This window comes from Homo sapiens, chromosome 2, assembly GCF_000001405.40.
Source record: "Homo sapiens chromosome 2, GRCh38.p14 Primary Assembly".
Lineage (NCBI taxonomy): Eukaryota > Metazoa > Chordata > Mammalia > Primates > Hominidae > Homo > Homo sapiens.
In genome coordinates, this window is record NC_000002.12 from 69,948,749 (window position 1) to 69,959,150 (window position 10,402).

The 10,402-nt window shown below is 47.4% G+C and overlaps 1 protein-coding gene and 1 non-coding gene across 3 annotated transcripts in view; one reads left to right on the top strand and one right to left on the bottom strand.

The window, feature by feature from the left end:
* Positions 1–10,402, bottom strand: part of ASPRV1 (aspartic peptidase retroviral like 1) — a 154,659-nt gene that overhangs the window by 16,032 nt on the left and 128,225 nt on the right. The gene's annotated exons all lie outside the window — the stretch shown is intronic.
* On the top strand, positions 6,897–6,999 carry LOC124906177 (small nucleolar RNA U13). The gene has a single exon (XR_007088762.1). It is a non-coding gene; the product is annotated as a small nucleolar RNA U13 (small nucleolar RNA).

Below are 10,402 nucleotides of genomic sequence, written 5' to 3' on the forward strand. Positions count from 1 at the left end.
GGTCCTCTCCCTGTCTCCCGCTCTGCCCACGCCCCCCGCCTCCCCTGTAAATCCTGCCCTCCCGCGAATGCCGTCCGGCTGACAGCACTCAGGCCTCCCCCGCGGCGGGTCCCCACCTGATCAGGCCCTGTCTACACCCCACCCCTCTCCTCACTCTTCCCTGGACACCTGGGGGCCCCCACTTGGGGAGCCTGCCTGGCCGCTCCCCCCGGCACCTCGCGGCGGACTGCGCTTCACTCAGGTCTCAGTGCAAACGTCCCCGTGTCCTTGAGGACCCCCGACTCCACCTGTATAAAATCGCAGCTCCCTGGTCACTTTCTATCCGCTGTCCGCGCAGTGATGCATTTCACTTTCTCTTATCACCACATGACACCTTGTATTTTACCTGCTTGATGTTCACACGGACCTCTGCCGGAGCAGACCCTGCAGGCCCCCTGCGGCTCTGACCCAATGCCCAGGACCATGCCTGTGTGTGCTCAGCGATGGCCACTTGGGGATGGATGGGCGAATGAATGAATGAATGAATGAATGAATGAATGAACGAATGAACGAACGAATTAACACTTTTTAAGAGAGACAGAGGAGAACTTTAGGCTCAGAGCTAAGGCAGGACAAGAGTCTCCAGTATCATATGGCCCCAAGCAGAGGTGATGAAACACAGCCAGTGAGGTTTTTACTAATCACTGGCCTTGATCACCATCGGAATTGTACAGTACAGTGAGGGCCACAGAAAATACCCGGGTTTTGGAAAAATCCAGGTGACTGGTTCAAAAACAAAAGCAATTGGACAGAAAACAATTTGGTTGAGAACAAGCTGCAGAGGAAACAATTCAGCCCAAAGGACAATTTGGTCTAAAAGTATACTCCACATTATTTTTCAAAAATTAGAATTTTAATGCAGCATGAAGGTGAATTGCATCGTTTTGTGCCTTTTCAAGTATTTTGCTTACATTTCGGCATATTTAGTTTTACCCTGGGCTTTAAATTTCTAGTTAATTTTTTAGTTAACTATTTTCATTCTGTTCATTTTTAATGTTTTTTATCATGATTTGGCACATGCATATGTATTTGTTTGTTTGTTTCTTGAGACAGAGTCTCACTCTTTCGTCCAGGCTGGAGTGCAATGGCACGATCTCAGCTCACTGCAACCTCCGCCTCCCGGGTTCAAGCGATTCTCTTGCCTCAGCCTCCCGAGTAGCTGGGATTACAGGCGTCTGCCACCGTACCAAGCTAATTTTTGTATTTTTAGTAGGGATGGGGTTTCACTATATTGGCCAGGCTGGTCTCGAACTCCTGACCTCAGGTGATCCACCTGCCTCAGCCTCCCAAAGTGCTAGGATTACAGGCATGAGCCACTACACCCGGCCAGCACATATAGATGTAAAAGTGCATAAAACATAAAGGTGCTGTTTAATAGTTATTATAAAGTAAGCACCCAAAAAAACACAACTGGTGAAGAGCCAGGACATCACTGGCCCCCAGGTACACCTGAGTGTCCTTCCCAACACAGCACCCTTTTTAGCCCTGAAGGACACAGCCACCCTGCTGCTGGGGTAACCGTGTCCTTTTTGCCTTTGTCCTCTTGCCTCCTAAGAATGCATCTCTAAGCCTGGGCTTTAGGTTTGACAATCTGTTTGAGAATACTACACAAATGAAATCATATTGTGTATGTTTTGTGTCTGACTTCTTTCATTCAACACTGTGACGTTCGTTTTTCTTGTGTGGTTGCAGTACATTCCTTTTCATTACCATACTGTGAGGTTTATAACAGCAAAATGTTGGAAACAATCTAAATGTTAAAAAATAGGGGAGGCTGGGCGCAGTGGCTCACCCCTGTAATCTCAGCACTTTGGGAGGCCAAGGCGGGTGGATCACTTGAGGTCAGGGGTTCCAGACCAGCCTGGCCAACATGGTGAAAACCTCGCCTCTACTAAACACACAAAAATTAGCCAGGCATGGTGGCTGGCGCCTGTAGTCCCAGCTATTCTGGAGGCTGAGGCTGGAGAATCACTTGAATCCAGGAGGTGGAGTTTGCAGTGAGCTGAGATCACATCACTGCACTCCAGCATGGGCAACAGAGTGGGACTCTGTCTCAAAAATAAATAAATAAATAAATAAATAAATAAATAAATAAATAAATAATAAAAAATAAAATAGGGGATTGGTTTAGTAAAGTATGAAAGTTTACAAAACAGAAATTACCATGTAATCCTATTTTTGTTAAAAGGAAAGAAAGAAAAGGCAAGAACGAGAGAGTGAAAGAGAAAGAATGAAAGAAAATACATTCATATGAGTGTATATAGAGAAAGGTCTGGAAAAATACACCGTGTTTGACCTAAGCAGGGTAAGTGGGTTCAAGGTTCTTATATATGTATATAAAATATGCGAGTGTGTGGCCCAGGCGCAGTGGCTCATGCCTGTAATCCCAGCACTTTGGGAGGCTGAGGCAGGCAGATCGCGAGGTCAAGAGATCGAGACCATCCTGGCCAACTTGGTGAAACCCCGTCTCTACTAAAAATACAAAAATTAGCTGGGCATGGTGGCAGGTGCCTGTAGTCCCAGCTACTTGGGAGGCTGAGACAGGAGAATCACTTGAACCCGGGAGGCGGAGCTTGCAGTGAGCCGAGATCACGCCACTGCACTCCAGCCTGGGCAACAGAGCAAGACTCCATCTCAAAAAAAAAAAAAAAAAAAGTGAGTGTGTGTGTGTGTGTGTGTGTGTGTGTGTGTGTGTGTATATCTATATGTATATTTATATATATAGATCTATACACACACACTCATATCATATATATACACATACATATCATATATATATCTATATATAAACATATATATAGATAGATAGATATGATATGTAGCTCTAGATATAGACTGACCAACGTTTCTGCTTTTCCCGCAAGCCTCACTCATTGCTTTTGCAATTAAAAAAAATACTAAAGGAATTTGAACCATGAAAGAATAAACAAAGCAATAAAAATGAACAATCAAAAAAGAGGATTTGGAGTTTTAGGGGGGTTTTAGGGGTTTTTTCTCTCCTAGTTTATTTTCAGCCAATTATGTCTCCTCTACTTACTTGATGATTTTTTTGGTGAGTTTTTTATTTTCATAAATTGATTTTTAGAATGAATATTTCCAACCACAGTTAACTGTTTTTGAGTTTTGTTAATAACTTATACACTGCTTAGCTAACAAAGACCTAGTTGTTGGTTACTTCAGCTTTTCAAATTCATTTTCACCCACTTGCCTTGCTCTGTTTATAATAGATTAAAACAACCTAAATTCATTTTAATAAAATCTTTGTTTGACCAAACTGTTCCAGCTAACTAAATTGAGTGCTCCAAAGTCAAGCCGGCTTAAATTCCAATCTCAGTTCAGCCACTTACCATTTACACAACACTGGGCAAATTAACCTCTCCCAATCTCAATTCCCCCATCTACTAAATGGGTATAAAACCTACTTTGTAGATGTTTTGTGAGAATTAGAAAGAAATTGCCTGGCCGGGTGCAGTGGCTCACTCCTGTAATCCCAACACTTTGGGCGGGAGAATTGCTTGAGCCCAGGATTTTGAGCAATATGGCAAAACCCCGTCTCTACAAAAAATACAAAAATTAGGCATGGTGGCCCACATCTATAGTCCCAGCTACCAGGAGGCTGAGATGAGGGGATTGCTTGAGCCTGGGAGGTCTAGGCCACAATGAGCTGTGATCGTGACACTGCACTCCAGCCTGGCACGACACAGCAAGATCCTGTAAGAAAAGAAAAAGAAAAAGAAAGGAAAAGAAAAGAAAAGGGAAGGGAAAGGAAGAAAAGAAAAGAAAAAAGAAAAGGGAAGGGAAGAAAAGAAAAGAAAAAGAAAAGGAGAAAAGGAAATGAAAAGAGAAAAGAGATTGCCACATAAGCAAGCTGTGAGTTACCTCATCTGGGGCTGGATAGTTCTTTATTGTGTGGGTTGTTTGGTGCATTGCAGGATGTTTTGCAGCCTCTGACCTTTACTCACTAGATGCCAATAGTCCCCCCCATCCCCTATCCCCTGGAAGATGTGACAACCAAAAATGTCCCCAGACATTGCCAATACTGCCTTAGACCTGTCCCTCTCTCACCTCCATAACAAATGCCCCTAAGTCCTGTTGGTTCGTCCTCCATGTTACCTTTGGAATCAGTTCCCCTTTCTTACTAGCTGGCTTAGCCCTTCAGCCCGTACCAGGGCAGCACAGAACCCCCAGGGCAACCTCCCTCCATCAGGCCTTCTGCCCTGCCTCCCTCCAGGGGCTGCACAGCGGGGTGAGACATGAAAACATGAAGGTCTGCTTTTGCTCTTTGATTTTCTCCTGTTTCTCCCAGCTCAGGCAAGTAGCCAGGACTTTCATTTTACTGGGCCAAAAGCCACTGTTGCGTGTAAGACCCAAGACACTTTTCTTCCCCATCTTCTGTACCTGCCTAAACCATGGATCAGTGTATGACCCAGTGCTCTGGACAGGGAGTTGTGGGTGGTCTCAGGAAGAGTAAGGGAATATGCAGAGGGCAGATCTGGTTTGACAGGGGATGGACAGTGGTCAGTCCTGGGGATAACTGGCACCCACACACCTCTCAGCAGCCTCACTCCAAGCAAGTGGCGGGACAGCACATGGGGTGGGTGCCTGGCGTCCCTAGAGAGGGAGGACATAAGACGGGGCCTCCTTGTGCCCGTGCATGGCACAGAAAGCAGCACAACTTTGTGGCCGGAAGGGCTCACATGTGCAGGGACGCTGGGCATTTCCATGGACACAGTGTGACTGCGACTGGGCAGTTACGACCTGCAGGGTCCTCTTTCTCCAATGCTTCACTGCTGCATAAGTTTCTGGGACCTTTCCCCCAATCCAGGGTAAAAAGAGCTCACCAAAGTGACTGAGAATGAATTTCTCAAATGCCTGGCTGAATGGGGACTCAGAGTTGGACTTAATTTTCTTTTTTTTTCTTTTTTTTCTTTCTTTTTTGAGAGCAAGTCTCACTCTGTTGCCCAGCCTGAAGTGCAGTGGCACCATCTTGGCTCACTGCAACCTCCACCTCCCAGGTTCAAGCAATTCTCCTGCCTCAGCCTCCCAAGTAGCTGGGATTACAGGCACACGCCACCATGCCCGGCTAATTTTTTTTTTTTTTTTGTATTTTTAGTAGAGACAGGTTTCACCATGTTGGCCAGGCTGGTCTCGAACTCCTGACCTCAGGTTATCTGCCTGCCTCTGCCTCCCAAAGTGTTGGGATTACAGGCATGAGCCATCATGCCTGGCCAATTCACTTTAATTATGGAAAACTTTCTTAAATGACATCTCTCACATCAGCATCTATGAGTTTGTAAACTGAGGTTCAGATGCATCTCATGATGCAGATGCCATCAAGTCACTTCCCTGCCTCCAACCCTGCCCTGGCTCTCCATTGTCTGAGAATGAAGGCTCCTCATGGCCCACCACAGAAGAAGCAGGGGCTCAGCTTCCACTCCTGCTTCCAGGCCAGACATCACTAATCAATCATGGCATCTTGCTGGCTGTGTCTGAATACAGTCCCAGAATCCTTTGCAGCACTGCCCACTAGGCAGCCACATGGGTCTGAGCTGGTCCTTAAGAAGGCAAGTAGTTTCTCTATTTTACCCCCATTTCCCCATTTTACTGCTTCTTAGATCCAGATATACCATTGGCAGATACATTTGCATCGCAGAGGTGGTGGTTGTTTCCTCCAAGAATATTAATAAACTTAAAACACACTTTTGAATTGAGTGCATTTTAGAGCTGAAATAAAAGCAGCATCTCCTTCCCTGGTCTCCTGGAGTTTCCTCAAAGTCCATATGAGAGGATCCATGCTGGCCCCCGTCTTCTCCTCCTGTCTCTGTTAGCCAACACCAGCAGGCTTGTCCTTGCCTCCCTGTTTTCTTCCCTTTCCTCCCTCCACCCCAAATATTCCCGGGAAACATCCATTCATTCATCTTTAAAGACTCAACTTAAAGATCTCTAGGGAGCTGTCCCTGACTGCACAATGTCCCACCCAGCACAGGAGTGGGGAGGAGGTCACAGCACAGGGTCACTCTAAGCCCTGCCTGCCTCCCTCTCCCAGACTGTCCTAGAGGACAGGGCTCCCTTCACGTCCTTCCTAGTGCAGGGAGAGGCTCTGCTAGGAACTCCTAGAGACAGGAAGAGCACCACATGTGCCTTGGAGAAGTCACCACAGTCCAGCTCAGAGTTACACAGTTCTCCAGGCTTGGGGGTTACTGACCCACAATATCAAGCAGTCAAAACTTGAGAGCCAATTGATTAGCCCACAGTGAAAAGCATAACAGCTTTTCTTGCTACCCAGCCAAGAGGCTTCCTTACCCGAGGTTACTTGGCAACGGTGGACTCAATACAGGAGCAGTGACTGATGGGCCTGGAACGTGGGGTGGCGTCATGTCTGACAGCTGCCCCAGTATCTCCTCAGTGTAGAGGACCAGGTGGGCAGACCAGGTCACCTCCCTGGAGCGTGGAGGCTGGCCCTTCCCTCGCATGGCCACAAGGGCAGGACTCATGGCCTTCAGTCTATGACTCCAGCTGCCCTCTTGATGGACACATCGTGTCCTCAGATAAGGACACACCTTGACACTGGCCCTCGAGGCACTCCCTGCACACCTGGGAGACCTCCACTCTCCCGCCAGCAGCTGCGCTCGGCTTCCTCATTTGTCTTTCTCATTTGCTGCCAATGGCCACCCACACCTGGCACTGGGTGGGAGATCTGAATGAGTGGGCGCTCCTAAGCTTCTCTTCCATAGGTGCATGGGTTAGCAATTCGGAAACAACTTTCTGGGTATTTTAGAACTGGGCAAATAAGTAACCTGGAGCCAGGTTTCTCATTATTAGAGAAAGAAGTCACAAATCTCAAGGGGAAGGTTACGATCCTTTTGTAGCTTGTAAGCGTGATGATTGGATGTTTGCAGGAGCGTGTGTGATGTGCCACCTCGCACCTTGCTACAACATCGGCACAGTAGCTGTGTGACATGAGAAATAATAAATAAAGGGGAAGGTTAGACTAAGTCCTAGAGTGTGGGGTTGGAATTGGAAGTATCAGCAGGAACTCATAATAGAGAGAGGGAGAGAGAGAAATATAGAGAAGTGGACTCTATGGTTTTCTTCTTAGCTCTGACCACTGAGAGGTCCTAGGAGTGATGGCATGCCAGTAGCAAGAAGCACACACACCTGACACCCAGATCCTTGTTTCTGAATATCAGACCCCACTCAAAGGAACCAGAGCTCCTGGAGAAATGGCTGATCCCAGGGCTGGTACAGGGAAGGGACAAGATGAGCCTGGAACATCTTGTGCCAGAAAATAAGGAAGGGCTCTTATGATGATGGGGACACGTCCCAAGGAGACAGGAGCCAGTTTGAAGCTGTCCCCATGGCCAAATCTAAAACAATTTGAGCATCAAAATAAATAATGATTGTAAATGAGTATAACTCATAGAAAAATAAGAATCTCTAAGTCCACATGGTATAAATCAACCAATAAATGAGTAGAGAAAGCTCTTCTGTAGAGTTGAGGGCCAGCTAATAGGTATAGAAGGATAGAATTAGTCCTGTAAGCCCAGCTACTTTGGAGGCTGAGTCAGGAGGATCACTTGAGCCCAGGAGTTTGAGACCAGCTAGGGCAAAAAAGCAAGACCCTGTGAAGAAGAAAGAAGAAAGAAGAAGGAGAAGGAGAAGAGGAAGAAGAAGAAGAAGAAGAAGAAGAAAAGAGGAAGAAGAAGAAGAAAGCAGAGGAGGAGGGGAGGAGGAGGAGGAGAAGGAGGAGGAGGAGAAGAAGAAGAAGGAGATTAGAAAATCACCATCATTTGGTAATTTGGTAATATCACAGTGACAATTCAGACAAAGATCACCAATGGGTGCTGAGGCTAGTGGTGACAGTCTTATGAGAAACAAGATATTTATATGGCTTCAGAGTGTCTCCCCACAAGACACTTACTCATGACGGGGGTAAAATAGTTATTTATGGAGTAAAAACCTGGCAAACAGCATTTTGACCAAGTGATGAAACAAGTCGGCAACATATGCCTCCTGATACGATGTACTGAGGATGCACCATCACTTCTGGGTATTCCTGCCCGAAACCCACAGCCCGAATCTCACCACAACTGAACATCAGATTCAGCCAAACTGAGGAACATTCTACAGAATAACTGGCCAGGCGTCCTCAAAACTATCAGGGTCATGAAAACAAAGACAGAGGAATTACTCAGATTAAAGGAGATGAAAGAGACACGGCAACTAAATGCAATATGTAGCTGAATTCAGTCCTGGACTAGAAAATAATCTGGGGGCCAACAATGTTCTTGTTGGGATAATTGGAACCATTGGAGTAAGATCTGAAGATCAGATGATAGTGGTATTACATCAGTGAACTTCCTGATTTTGATAACTGCATCATGGTTATATAAGAGAATGCCCTTGTTGTTGTTGTTGTTTTCCCCTAGGAAATATACACTGAAGTATTTAGAGATAAAAGTGCATCATATTTGCGATTTTCAAAGGTTCCTATATATATAGATAGGAGAAAAGGAATGAGAATGAGAGAGATGATGAAGTTAATTGGAAAAATGCTAATATTTGGGGAAACTGGGTGAAACGTGGAAATTCTTTGTACTGCTCTTGCAACTTTCCTGTTAGTCTCAAATTAAGACTTAAAGATTTTCTGGATAAAAGCATAAAGAATTATCTAGTATGGTCTGGGGAACTGGCATGCATTCAGTTTGTGGTGGTCATTATTAGAGAAGAAGGCAGCTTGTAGGGCCCCCTTAACTAGAGGTATTAGAATGTTCTAGGCCAGGGCTTTTCAAACTCTTATGTCCCCTAGAATCACTTGGGGATCTTGCTCACTGCAGATTCTGGCGCTGGTCTGGGTGGGGATGGAGAGTCTGTATTCCCAACAGGCTCGCAGGTGATGCTGATGCCGCCTTCCTGCTGGTTCATGGATCACCCTTTGGGCAGTACAGGGGTAGATGCCACTGGAATTTAGACCATGGGTTCCCAAGCCTGCTGCACTTTGGGACCACTGGAGGAACTGATGTTCATGGGTCTTCTCTGGTGATTATCATGTGCTCCAAAGGCTAAACCTTCACACTGATCCTGCATCCTCCTTTCCATCATTGCAAAAGCAGACCTTAGGTATAAGGACTGCCATGGTGTCCCAGCAGAGCCTTTGCTGCTGCTTTACTCCATCCTATACCCAGAAGGCAGATGAATCTTCCTGCTCTCCCATGGTTCAAACGCCCACTGTGGGAGGCAGGTGTGAACTCCTCACCCAGACAGCAAGCCCTCTGTGGTGTGGCCACAACCCACTTTTTCTGGCTTCTCTCCCGGGCTTCTCTGTTGTTTGATACCTGACTTCCCAGAGAGCAGCTGCTCATAGTCCTGCAGCTGGGTTCCACGTTGACGCATCTGCAGCTGTGATCACTCTCACCCGCATGCAGCAGCGGTCTCAGCCTCACTCGGGTCTCCCAGTAAGAAGCACCACATGGTCCCTTCCTCCATGGGGGCCATGCTTCAGATGTCACAGACCCCACCCCTCACTGTGCCCTCTCGGGGGGCCCACATTTCTCTAGGAGAGAAAACTGGCTGAGAGCTGGAGACCTGGGGGCTCAGACAGGCTCTCCTCACTCAGAGCAGGGGAAGAAGGTGTCTGCTGCTGGGACACAGCATCCCATTTGCAATCACCCAGGACAGGGCTCCACTCCGTGTGGTGTGTGGGAAAGGGCAGGGAGGCTGGGGTATTGCTCTGGAATTCTGGCCTGGCCACCAATTCCTTAGTCCCCTCCCCAGCTCCCCACCCACCCACTTACAGACTCTTTACCCTCCCTCCTTCTACCCAGCACGTGGCTGGGATCCAAAGGACCTGGAGGAAAATAAGTCACAGGGAGGTGCCACCTGGATTGTTCCCTCGGGAGAGGGCTCGGCCCATGAGAGAGCAGCATGCGTTAGGCCACAGAGAGTGGGGCTGAAAATCAAATTTGAGAAGGGGGATGCAGGATCTGGGAGTCATCCGGAGACCACCCTTTCTCCAGTTCCCCCATCGCCTTCTCCAGTTCTCTCACCCCCTTCTCCAGTTCTCCCACCCACTTCTCTAGGCATCACTTTTCTGGAAATAGATTTCCTCCTGATCCCACACCTGTCCTTCCTCCAGGTGCCCTGGGGCTGATGGAGCTAATTTCAGTTAAGATGCTTGGCTGCCCAGGGAAGGGGCCTCGGTAAACCCCGAGGATTAGGGGCTGAGCCATGCCTCAGTTCCCAGGAGAATCACAGCTGGAATCGGAGGGAAGAAGGGGCCAGGGACGGGCAGCTGATCCTGGCTCAGATCAGCTTCAAAAAGTCCAGGGGCTTCACTCCTGCCTTCTGTCTCTCCCTCAGGAGC